General features: G+C 41.7%; 1 protein-coding gene across 1 annotated transcript in view, besides 1 other annotated feature; it reads left to right on the top strand.

Moving 5' to 3' along the window:
• The window catches only part of SPOCK1 (SPARC (osteonectin), cwcv and kazal like domains proteoglycan 1), a 524029-nt gene that overhangs the window by 436884 nt on the left and 73600 nt on the right, over positions 1–13545 (top strand). The window lies entirely within an intron of this gene.
• Positions 12011–12639: an enhancer, noted in NCBI's record as "OCT4-NANOG-H3K27ac-H3K4me1 hESC enhancer chr5:136385493-136386121 (GRCh37/hg19 assembly coordinates)". NCBI's record gives its function as "activates a minimal SCP1, AML or CMV promoter by ChIP-STARR-seq in primed H9 embryonic stem cells {active_cell/tissue: H9 hESC(primed)}" and the evidence as "EXISTENCE:reporter gene assay evidence [ECO:0000049][PMID:30033119]".

Raw genomic sequence — 13545 nt, 5'->3', positions numbered from 1 at the left:
CCACCCCTTCTGAACCTGAGCATCTGCCTGCTCTGCCCTACTTCCCCTGTTTCAGGGACATAAACCACTCCCTTCTGGCCTGAGCATAGCAGCCCCATTCCCTGCACCTCATCTGAGAAGGGATTTGGAGCTTCCCCTTCCCCGAGGTGAGGACTTGGCAGGGTTGTAGGATTTTGGATCAAGAAGAGTCTCACTTATCCACACCATGTTGAGGAGTCTTCTCTGTTCCTCCAAGGTGCCACAGCTTTCCCCATACGGACCAGGGGAAGGCCAAATGGGTGGGGCCTCAGATCTCCTCCAGAGTGACTCCATTCTTACACGTTACCACTTAGATTACACCTGTGGGAAGAGTTTGACCACCACTGGTCTTTATTCAGTCCACATTCACCAGAAGAGAACCCTGGAGGCTCACTGAGAAAAGATCCTTGCGTGCCATCAGCTGACAGCTCACCTGACCCTGGGTCTAGTGAGTTTGTTCCTATCACGTGTGGGTACATCCTCAGTCACAGTCAGCAGCATCTTTAGCCTGAAGATGGTGGCAGGTCTGTATGATGGGAGTTAAATTTAATTTCTCCTGGGTCTGAAGTCACTTGCCCACATCTTACAGTATTAACCATCAGGCAGAGAATGTCACCACACTCCCAAACCAGCAAGGTTTAGAATGGCATCCTACAGACGCCCTCCCACCCGCCCCCTCCACTCTATCTCTAGAAGAGGAAACAGAACATTCTCCAAGGACAGCTCCTTCTTTTCTTCTGTTGGCACAGATTAGATCAGAAGGGATGTGGCTCCAGCCTAAGAAATTATGGAGAAGGCTGTGGAACTGTTACCCACTTCCTGGCCTGACATGAGCTGGGAGGTAGGAGCAGGATGGGGGCAGGTTTGGTGCAGGAGGGGAGGAAAGAGAACTGCAAGTTTTTCCAACAGGGCATGCTAAAGAGGAAATAACAACTTCCCTCCAGCTGAGCTATTTAGAACAGTAGAAAAATAGTCTACAGTGATTTTCTTTTCTCAAACGGTGTTTTCAACCCGAGGGCTAGATTCTGGGGGAAACTGTCTTGGGTTGACAGACGGTTGTCCAATTCCATTACTTATCACAAGTGGAGCTGGAAACGTGGATAAAAGGGAACAGGAGGCGGTGAAAAAGGGAATGGGGTAAGGAGTTCCTCCTAGCTGTAATGTCTCAATGGAAAATTCCTGAAAGAATCCTGCTGCAGAGGCTCCTAGAAAAATAGAGATTTATCTTTGCATCCAGGAAAGAACATTTTTGTTTAATGCCCGTTGTGTAAGAGAGTGAAAGCCTTGGGCTTGCAAACTTGGAATTTAAAAGCAGTTTATACTAACCTTTCGATACATATTCAGCTTCATTCACTTGTCATTCAGTACTACATTTGGGTCAGAAATTAAGCACATAAAGGAATATTTTTTAGGGCCTTGTTATTCTAAATGTCATGACCTTAAAAAAATGCTTGAGAATTAAATTGGCAACTGCATCAAAGAAGAAAAATTCATTTGTCAGGACTCTGAGGTAACTGCTGACTTTGACTTTGATCTCAGATTCTTCCTCTTCTGTGAGTTCAACTCTGGGAAAGTGCACCACAGGTTTTCCTGGTCCTCTGAAGTCTATTTGATAGCAAGTGATTGGGGAAAGCTAAAGGTGAACAGAGAAAGAAGGATAAGCTGAGGCAAAGGGTAGCTGCGGTCGGAACCAGAGTTCAGTGAACGGGATAGAGGTTTGTGCTAGAAATTAATGGCTTTGATAGTTTGCCCAGACAGCACTCTTATCCTGCACTTACTGTTTTTTTTTTTATGTACAAAATTAACATACATTCTTTTTATTTTAACTTTTAGTTTTAGGGGTATAAGTGCAGGTTGGTTCTATAGATAAATTGCATGTCATGAGGGTTTGGTGTACAGATTATTTCATTTCCCAGATAATAAGCATACCCAATCGGTAATTTTTTGATCCTCACCCTCCTCCCACACTCAACCCTCAGGTAGGCCCTGGTATCTAGTGTTCCCTTCTTTGTGTCCATGTATACTCAGTGTTTAGCTCCCATTTATAAGTAGGATGATGCAGTGTTTGGTTTTCTGTTCTTGCATGAGTTTGCTTAGGATAATGGCCTCCAGCTCCATCCATGTTGCTGCAAAGGATATGATCTCACTCTTTTTTATGGCTATGTAGTATTCTATGGTACATGTGTACCACATTTTATTTATGCAGTTTACCACTGATGGGCTTTTAGGTTGATTGCATGTCTTTGCTATTGTGAATAGTGCTGTGATGAACAGACGTATGCAGGTGTCTTTATGGTAGAACAATTTATATTCCTTTGGGTAAATACCCAATAATGGGATTGTTGGGTCAAATGGTAGTTCTCTTTTAAATCCTTTGAGAAATTGCCAAATAGCTTTCCACAGTGGCTGAACTAATTTACAGTCCCATCAGCAGTATATAAGTGTTCCCTTTTCTCTGCAGCCTTGCCAGCATCTGTTATTTTTTGACTTTTTAATAATAGCCATTCTGAATCATGTGAGATGCTATTTCATTGTCGTTTTGATATGTTTCTCTAATGATTAGTGATGTTGAGCATTTTTTCATATGCTTGTTGGCCATGTATATGTTTTCTTTTGAAAAATGTTCATGTCCCTTGCCCACTTTTTAAGGGAGTTGTTTGTTTTTTACTTGTTAATTTAAGTTCCTTATAGATTCTGGCTATCAGACCTTTGTCAGATGCATAATTTGCAAATATTTTCTCCCATTCTGTGGGTTGTGTATTTACTCTGTTGATGTCTATTTACTCTCTTTTGCTATGCAGAAGCTCTTTAGTTTAATGAGGTCCCATTTGTCAATTTTTGTTTTTGTTGCAATTGCTTTTGGCATCTTTGTCATAAAATCTTTGCCAAGGTCTATGTCTAGAATGGCATTTCCTAGGTTTTCTTGAAGAGGTTTTATAGTTTTAGGTTTCGCATTTAAGTCTTTAATCCATCATCCCAGTTTGGTTATTTATTTATTTTGCATTTACCTTCAATTATTTCTATATGCATATAATAATTTTTTAACTTTACTCATCCATAATTGGGATTATATTCTACATAATGTTTTGCACCCTGCCTTTTATATATCATACATATATTTTCACGTAAGTACATGTAGACCTATCTAGATATGTGTGTATTTGCCTGTCTGTCACCAGCTAACCTGCCTGCTTCCTTGAACTCCAGACTTAAATATGTAATGACTACTTAGCATTTCCACTTGGATGCCCCTAGGCATATCAAGCTTAATGTCTAAAATCAAACTTTAAGACATCCTTGTCTTGTATTATAATAGCTTCCTAATTGATCTCCTGGTCCTTACCTTCTTTTTTTTGCACATGGTAGTCCAGCTGATTCTGTAAAATGTAAATCAGATTATGTAGTCCCCTGTTCAAGACACTCCATCTTGTTAAGATTAAGAGGAAAAGTTAAAGTCCTTTCAGTGACCTGCAAGGCAACATGCTCTGGTCCTCTGTTACGTGTCTGTCCCCATCTTTTGCTGCTCTGATCCTTGTGTGCTCAGCTCCAGGCACACAGGTCTCCCTGGAGCTCCTCAAATGTGCCCTTCTCACCACTGCCTCAGGGCTTGGCACTGACCATCTCCTAGGCCAGGACCCTCTTCCCCAGACATCCATGGGGCCACTCCGTCAACCACCTCTTTAAATCTTTGCACAAATGTCACCTTCTCAGGAAACCTTCCCCTGAACTTCCTACCTACCTTCTCCTATTTATTTTTCTCTGTATCATTTATCACCTTCTAATATATTCGTTTGCTTACCTTTTTTCTTTATTGTCTATCTTGCCCAAGTAGAATGGAAGTTACAGGAAGTCTTTTTGTCTAGATTTTCAATGACTGACAAATGTCAAATGAATCTACTTCATTCTTTTTAAAATGTTGTCCATTGTACATATGTACCATAATATACAATGTTTAAAATAGTAAACAGATGATTTATGGCACAAGATAGTCTGTATAAAGTGCTTAATTTGTGAATTGTGCTAAGCACTTTATACATATGTTTAATCCCCCTAACAGCCAAATAATGTTATCTCCTTTGCTGGTGAGAAAATTTGAGATTTGGATCTGTTCAGTACCTTGCCTAAGGCCACACAGATAATAGATGACAGAACAGGGATCTGAAACCTTTTCTGGAACTTGTGCTCTTACCCTTACATTATACTGTGTTCTTAACCTAAATTCAATGTCCACTGAAAGGTCGGGCTTCCTTTGAAAAAAGAAAAAGTGCACACCCCACTCTTCCACACGTGTCCATCCGCACACTTTAAGCTAAATTTTCCCATGCTTTCGGTACTCAGAGAATATAGCCCTTTACGAGATCACAGCCTTCACTGATGGGATTTTTCCAAAGTGAAAGAATTAATGTCCTCACACATTTTCTCCTGTCTTTTTCTCAAGCAGGCTTAGCTCTCTGAAGTTTATCAAAACACTGGCATGGGCTCATTGTTCATCACCATATTATGCTTTTCTGATAGCTACAAGTTTCCAACCTAGCTCTTAAAGATAAAAATTCATTTGTAATCTGTCCTGAGGTTGACTGTTCTTCCATTGCCCTGCTATCCATTACTGTGAAAAGAAAAGACAGCATTACAATAAAAAATAAATTGAAATTATCACCAGACGAAAGTAAGTGGCTTCCACCCCACAAAGCAGACTGCTTAGTGAAATGTTGGTAGGCCTCTTTCCTAGATCCAAGTGGTGTATTGGGAGCTAGGCCTTTGACAGGGCAGAGAGCAAAGAAAGGTGTGGCCCCAGTCCAACAGGTGTAGTAAGAATCAAATGAGCTCAATTTTAGCTATAAAAGTAGAGTTACAGTTCACAAAATATAACTTTTATCATCATTGTCATATCAATGATGATGATTCTCTGTTTGAAAACCCAAAGTGGCAATTACATATAAAGCAGGAATGTCACTTTGATAATTTAACTTGAGGAATATATAATGATGCCAGATAAAGCTCAGAATCAATAGTTGGTTGAATGTATAGTGATAGATGTTCAGGTTGGTTAGAGCTGCAACCAAAACACAAACAACCATCCAGCTCTCTCCTTATTCTGAAGAGACTGAAGTAAAAGAGGGAACTGAGATGTGTTCAAATCACAAAGAAGTAATTAGAGTAAAACCCTGTGTTCCTCTCCTAGTCCCAGAAAGGTCACCTCTAAGGCCCTCCTGCTTGAAAAGAGTGAGCAGCGCTCTATGGCAAGAGAAAAGACCTGCTGACACAGTAGGAGATCTGGTTATGAATCTTATTATTTCAAGGCTTAGAATGAGCTTAAAGCAGCAATAACTTCAGAACAATTTAGGGGAAGTACTGGGAGGGTGAGGAACAGTGATATTAGTAGAGAGGAGACCATAGGGTCTGCATAATGTGGGAAGCCCTGCTTTCAAGTTTCCCAGTGATGTAGTAGCAGGTCTTCCTGGAGGCAGGTCCTTCATACTTGCGTAAATTTTACCATGTAGAAGGATCTTGAATGAACAAACCTAGCCCACCTGTTGCATAGCAGTCGGTGGTGGGGGGAGGGTCTCAAGAAGGTAGTTACATGTGCCTGTCTCCTCTCATCCTAGCCAAGAGAGCACCAATTTACTCTGGACTCCTTGGCCTTACTATGTTTGGTCCAAGCTTGAGTCTGCTAAATGGCTGTTGCCACCAAGTCATGTGTGGAAGTGGAGTGAGGCTGTCAACCAAGTAGATCTCCTGGGCTTCACTCAAAAACAGATGTGATCATAGCCGCAGCCAAGAAATACTCCGGAAAATGACTTGCAAAAAAACTAAGTTAAAAAAAAAAATAAAAGTCCTTTTTTATGAGGGCTACTAATCCTATGGAACTACCCCTGAGAAGTATTACAGAGGCTGAAGAGGCCTAAATCTCTCTCCCTGTATCTCCCAAAATCTTAGAATTTAGGATATTATATCCTAAGCCAGGCCAGTCACCAGGGAGTTTTTGCACTCCAGGACAGTAGCTTGGAGTGGACGGCATCATGTCCCCTTACTCCCTTGACCTCATCTAAATCCAGATCTCAGTCTATGACCTGGTTCCTTTAGGGTAGGATACTGCTGGTTCTCCCCAGCCTCCAGGATCTGGCATCTGTACTTCCCATAGACCCCCTGTCCCCCACCCCCACATGGTTGTGTAGCTGCAACAGCGTCCCCTCACCTGCCAGACTTCTGTCTGTGATTCACACCTGCCAGCCTGTCTTGTCCACCAGGGTCTTCAGCTCCAGCTTTTCCTACAGCCTGTTGGCTGCTGTGTGTACCATGCCCAGGACAGTGCATGGCACAGATTAGACTGACTTCAATCATTTGTGGAATGAAGTAACTGAGGAAATGTATAGGGTCTTACTGTTTTCCAGGCACATTTATGTACTTGAGATTTTGGTGGTCCCAGCCCTTGGAAAAGTTGGGTTTTGTAGGTGACTTAGGTCCCGAAGTCAAAGAGGCAGGTTCCTCCACCTGAAGGTACTTGTCTATGTACTTCCCTACATGGGTCATTCTGGGGCACGACCTCAGGCTAACAGGTAACTGCTGTGCGTTTCTGGCTCCTCTGCACTGGGAAGATGCCATCATCAGAAGCAAGCTCAGGCAGTCTGTTCTTTCCCTACAGCCCACCTCCCTGACTAGAGAGAAGGGCTCAAGGTGTCTCAAGAAGCAAGTATTTTTGCCTTGATGACAGAGGTGTAGCATCCTGTGGTATAGAACATTCTGTTTAGTGTTTCCTTGTGCCCTTGTGAGAACACAGAACATTTATAGCCAGAGGAGGGAGTATCTGGAGATTACAAGCATTTGTTCTCTTTTGAGTGAAGAGCTCCTGTTATAAGAATTATACATAGTTCTGTGTTGTGAAATAGTTGGCTTAATATCTGATTACCATTGTGCCCAAGAGGAAACTTGCCTACTTGGGGAAAGCATAGTGAGTTAAAATAACACAGATCTGTTACTTCGTGTACCTTGCTTCTCAAGGCCTCTGAGCTATATTTAAAATTTAAAGCTTAAAACAATACCCCCAGAGGGTTTTTTTTGCCCTAAAATTGAGGACAGTGACTGGGTCTGTTGGTAATGAGTAATGTATCTTCATCCATTCAGCTGTCCATCCAGCCAGCTGGCATTTATTAAGTGCCTGTTCTGTGCCCAGGTCCTATGCTCTTTCTCCCTTAAGTGGGATAACAAGAACTCTTAGGACCAGATACAACCACAGTGTGTTGCTCATGGGTCTGCATATGGAGCTCACTTATGTCTCAGGGTAATAATTGTGTCGAGCTGAGCTGTTTTCCATGTCTTTATAGAGCAGAGTTTATAAGTCCAGGACTCCAATAATTTTTATTGCTGAGTACGTTTCTATAATTTTGACATACTACCATTGTGGTCTCTGTGGTCAGAAGAACTAGGTTTCATTTCATGTGGTTGAAACAAGGAAACCTATTTAAAAATACAAGTGATTCTATTACATTTTGGACCTTATGTACTGGCACTGTAAACTCATTAGATTGTGACCTTCTAGAAAGCAGGGATTATGTCTAATTTATCTTTATATCCCCAGCATAGGATCTGTCGAATGTATGGTCACCACTAAGTGTAAATATTAATTTGTAATATGTCTGTTACAAATTTAATTAGAGCAATACTTAATAAATATCTAGATTAAATTAGTGCATTTCTGCTTCCTATTATGAGTTGTTTATTCTCCATATGGCAGAGACTGACCTCCTTCTTGGTTTACTCCAAGACTTCTGATTCAAGTTGGCCTCTAAATTCTCTGGGTGGCTTTCCTTGTTGGCGTTCTGTGATAACCACACTGACTCCTTTGTCCTCTGGGGCCCTGTGCACCTGGTTTGTTGCCTCCTTGTCCCATGAGCAGCAGCTAAGGGACATCACAGTGTGGCCTCTGCCACATGTGCTGCCTTTGCTTTCTGTCTTGTACAGGAAGACTCCTGTCCCCCTGACCTTCCATGAGCCTAACTCTGTATCTTCAAGGTTTAGGCAAACTTGTTTGCACTTGTCTATTATTTGCCTTCAATTATATATGATAAGACTTGTTGAGAGGGAGTCTTATACACTAGAAAATGCATTGCCTGTGGAACCAGGCAATTGTAAAGTTGAATTCTAGCCCCAGAACTTGCTAGCTATGTGGCTTTGGGCAAGCTACTTAACTTCTCTGAGTCTCAGTTTTCTCATCTGTAAAAACAGATAGATAGGCCTATCTTGTGAGGTTATTAGAATGAAACAAATTAATTGAGATAATTATGAAAGTGGCTGGTTCTAAAAGGTGCTCAATGTATACCATTTTCCTTCCTTTTTTAATGTGTGTGCATGCGCATGCACACACACATACACACAGACATGGATCTGCTCTTTGTACAATTTGACAATACCAGCCTTCCAAAAGACCTTGGAATTCTAGAATTAGTCTTGTAGACATGTAGCAGAGACACTGTTAGTTGTCTAGCCCATAGCCATTTGATTCTGGTTTTCTTTGAGGAAGAATAAGCTCACCTGCATTCTTATTTTCCCAGTCTCTTCCAGCTGAGGATGTGGCCCTGTGATTCAGTTCTGGCCCGTGAAATGCAAGTAAAGTCTTCTAGAGATTTCTAAGAAAGCTTTTGCTTTTATAACAAACAGGGACAGGCAGAGCTTGTGCTGTGTTTTATCCTTGCAGAGGTGTGAGTGGAGCTGCAGCAGCCCTTTTGTAGCCACAAGATGCCAAGCCTAAAGCTTCAGACCCACCCCCCACCCATTAAGGATGACTGAGCCGAAGCCCAGAAAGAACCTGGGTCCCCAGTGGCACTATGGAGTAGCTGAAGCAACATTGTGACTGCCTTTCTTCTGATTTCTTGTGTCACAAAGTAAATCCCCATGAATTTATGCCACTGTTAACTAAGCTTTCTTATTTGCAGCTAAACACATTTTCTAATGGAGATAGAGCACATCCTTTTTACAGGCAATATTGGTGCAAGGTCAGAAGTTGTCAAGGTGCCAGGAACAATGGCAACTTGGTATCTAGGGGAGGAGGAGACCAGAGATGGCCTCAGGAGCCATCTCTGGTTTACTCCAAGACTTCTGATGCAAGTTGGCCTCTACACTCTCTGGGTGGCTTTCCTTATTGGCTTTCTGTGATAACCACAACTGACTACTTTGCCCTCTGGCGCCCTGTGCACCTTGGTTTGTTGCCTCCTTGTCCCTGAGCAGCAGCTAAGGGACATCACAGTGTGGCTCAGAGGTCATGCTTCTTGTCTCAGGAGCATGTAGTTCCTAGAATTAGCTAAAGGGCTTAGAATGTCCTGGAGAGGGAATATTTGACCTATGGTTATAAATCATGTGTTCCTCATGCCTTGGAAAGACAGAAAAGGGAGCAGAAAAATTGTCCCATGGTACCAGCCAACAAGGCATGCTGGACCAGAACACCCTGTGCCTGCAGTTGGACAGAAGAAACCACCTAACTGGAGAAGACAGTTATGTGATGGAAGACAGGAGACATAGGCTCATTTAAAATGAGCATTAAAAAAAAATAGGAGTTATACATATTTATTATAGAACACTTAAAAATACTGCAAAATACAAAGAATAAATTTTTAAAATTACCCAGCCTCCCAAACTGAATATAATAAAATACTATTTAAAAATCTTTACTATTAGCTTAATAATACTTAATTATATTCCCATATCATCAATTATTCTTTTAAAAACTGATTTTTAATGGCTGCATGGTGTTCAATTCTATAAAAGTACTATAATTATTGTAACTAGTCCTTTATTATTGAACATTTAGCTTCTCTAATTTATAGTTATAAATACTGATTTTATGAACAACAATGTATATTAATTTTGCACACACCTTAATTATTTTCATAGGATGCATTTTTAGAAGTAGAATTTCTGGGTAAAATGGCTTGTATACTGTAAGTCTTCTGTTACATACTAGCAGAAATTCTTTCAGAAAAGATGTGCCACAAGTGATGTGTAGGAATGCCTAGTCAGAGGACCACTGTCATTTTTGGATACTATAATTTTTAAAAGAATTTTTCCACTTTGTGGGTTAAGAAAAAGGTAGCTTTCTTAGCAGGGATTTAGTTTAACGGTAGGTGACTGACACTCCTGAACCTAAATAACAGTGGTTTAAACAAAAGAGGGTGTATTTCATTTTCACATAAAATGAGTCAAGTGGTAGGAAGTCCAGGGCTTGTATGAGGCAACCTCAATCATAAGGGAACCAGGCTCCACTCTTGTTGCTCAAACAAGTCTGCCTCATGGTCCAAGATGTCTGCTAGAGCTCCAGCCATTCCAGCTTTAGTCCAGTCAGTGGGAAAAATTGAAGAGCAAAGAAGGGCACCCCTTTCTTTTGAGCAGACCTCTGTGAATTTGGATACAGTTCTGCTTACATCTCAATGGCCATCTCAGTCTGAATTTAGTCTGAGTACAGTCACGCATGGTCCTACCTAGATGCTGGGGAGTACAGAGTTTTCAGGTCAAAAGCAGTAAGCCAGCAGAAAATCAAGGTTCTCATTACTAGGCAGAAGAATGGGTCTTGGGAGACAATTATCTGACTCCTACACATTTTGATTTCTTACTTCTTTGATCATACTGGAGGTTAAAGGTGTGTATGTGTGCGTGTATGCTATTTGTAATTATTTTTAAAATGCCCTATATCCTTTATGATTTCCCTTTTAGGATGCTGATTTTTTTTCTCAATAGTTTCTCAGGTTATTCTTTTATATCCTTAATTTGATATGAATTCTTCATATGTAGTTCACTTTTCCCCCAATATGTCATTTGTTTTTAACAGTGGTTTCTGATGAACTAAGATTTTGAGGTTTTTATCCAGTCAGGTCCATCATTCTTTTTGTTTAGAATTTCTGGCATTGATATGTGTTTATAAATCTCTGTCTTACTCTGAGACCAGATAAAATTTCACCTATGTTTCTATTTTGTTCTGTCATGGCTTGAATTTTTCATGTTTGATGCATAAGGCCAGTGGCATTCAAACAGGAAGAAATCATTTCTACAGTAAGCCAATACCCAAAGCTTTCACCAGGCAGCGCCCTTACTCTGTAAGACATGCCCTGTTTTCTTTTCTCTGCTATCATACCTCATGTTTGGGAAAGATTTTTTGAGGACCCATTCGTAGATTGCAACTCGTAGTTGGAAAAGTACTACTAATAATCAGTCTCATACTTTTTGGGGTATAATAGGAAAACTGAAACTGTATTTTGTGTGTGTGTTTTAAATAGCCAGTTCAAAAAATGACTTTTACTCAATAATTCATTTTTCACCTAACAAGTTATCCGCTTTTTCATATTTTTTCATGGGTATTCTTATCTATTCTCTCCGACGATATTCAAAATCATTTTGAAAACTTTAAAGAAATGATATTTAGATTGGATTTACAAAGTAATTGGAGAAGAATTGATAACTTTAGAGTTAAGTTGTTGTTCCATCTGGAAATGTGGCACACATCTCTCCAAGCCTCCTTGGAAAACGTCTGCAGTTTTCTTTCAGAATACGGGAGTATTTCTCATTACATTTATGACTAGAGAGTCAATGTTTGAGATTGCTTTTTGTGAATGAAATCTGTTTTCCATTTTTGTTAAAATGACTATTTCTTTCAAATAGGAAATCTTGATTCTGACAGTTTTTAGTTTATCATTTTGGATTTTCTTTAGAAAATGATATCATCTGCAGATAATGGGCATTTTTATCTTCCTCTCTAAAGTAAATTTTAAGAAATAGTCATTTATCAAGATGGCCGAATAGGAACAGCTCCGGTCTACAGCTCCCAGCGTGAGCGACGCAGAAGACGGGTGATTTCTGCATTTCCATCTGAGGTACCGGGTTCATCTCACTAGGGAGTGCCAGACAGTGGGCGCAGGCCAGTGGGTGCGCGCACCGTGCGCGAGCCGAAGCAGGGCGAGGCATTGCCTCACCTGGGAAGCCCAAGGGGTCAGGGAGTTCCCTTTCCGAGTCAAAGAAAGGGGTGACGGACGCACCTGGAAAATCGGGTCACTCCCACCCGAATATTGCGCTTTTCAGACCGGCTTAAAAAACGGCGCACCACGAGACTATATCCCACACCTGGCTCAGAGGGTCCTACGCCCACGGAATCTCGCTGATTGCTAGCACAGCAGTCTGAGATCAAACTGCAAGGCAGCAACGAGGCTGGGGGAGGGGCGCCCGCCATTGCCCAGGCTTGCTTAGGTAAACAAAGCAGCCGGGAAGCTCGAACTGGGTGGAGCCCACCACAGCTCAAGGAGGCCTGCCTGCCTCTGTAGGCTCCACCTCTGGGGGCAGGGCACAGACAAACAAAAAGACAGCAGTAACCTCTGCAGACTTAAGTGTCCCTGTCTGACAGCTTTGAAGAGAGCAGTGGTTCTCCCAGCACGCAGCTGGAGATCTGAGAACGGGCAGACTGCCTCCTCAAGTGGGTCCCTGACCCCTGACCCCCGAGCAGCCTAACTGGGAGGCACCCCCCAGCAGGGGCACACTGACACCTCACACGGCAGGGTATTCCAACAGACCTGCAGCTGAGGGTCCTGTCTGTTAGAAGGAAAACTAACAACCAGAAAGGACATCTACACCGAAAACCCATCTGTACATCACCATCATCAAAGACCAAAAGTAGATAAAACCACAAAGATGGGGAAAAAACAGAACAGAAAAACTGGAAACTCTAAAACGCAGAGCGCCTCTCCTCCTCCAAAGGAACGCAGTTCCTCACCAGCAACGGAACAAAGCTGGATAGAGAATGATTTTGACGAGCTGAGAGAAGAAGGCTTCAGACGATCAAATTACTCTGAGCTACGGGAGGACATTCAAACCAAAGGCAAAGAAGTTGAAAACTTTGAAAAAAATTTAGAAGAATGTATAACTAGAATAACCAATACAGAGAAGTGCTTAAAGGAGCTGATGGAGCTGAAAACCAAGGCTTGAGAACTACGTGAAGAATGCAGAAGCCTCAGGAGCCGATGCGATCAACTGGAAGAAAGGGTATCAGCAATGGAAGATGAAATGAATGAAATGAAGCGAGAAGGGAAGTTTAGAGAAAACAGAATAAAAAGAAATGAGCAAAGCCTCCAAGAAATATGGGACTATGTGAAAAGACCAAATCTACGTCTGACTGGTGTACCTGAAAGTGATGTGGAGAATGGAACCAAGTTGGAAAACACTCTGCAGGATATTATCCAGGAGAACTTTCCCAATCTAGCAAGGCAGGCCAACGTTCAGATTCAGGAAATACAGAGAACGCCACAAAGATACTCCTCGAGAAGAGCAACTCCAAGACACATAATTGTCAGATTCACCAAAGTTGAAACGAAGGAAAAAATGTTAAGGGCAGCCAGAGAGAAAGGTCGGGTTACCCTCAAAGGAAAGCCCATCAGACTAACAGCGGATCTCTCGGCAGAAACCCTACAAGCCAGAAGAGAATGGGGGCCAATATTCAACATTCTTAAAGAAAAGAATTTTCAACCCAGAATTTCATATCCAGCCAAACTAAGCTTC

The sequence above is a fragment of the Homo sapiens genome, chromosome 5 (genome assembly GCF_000001405.40).
Source record: "Homo sapiens chromosome 5, GRCh38.p14 Primary Assembly".
In the NCBI taxonomy this organism is placed as follows: Eukaryota; Metazoa; Chordata; class Mammalia; order Primates; family Hominidae; genus Homo; species Homo sapiens.
This window is presented reverse-complemented; position numbering and strand designations above follow the sequence as displayed.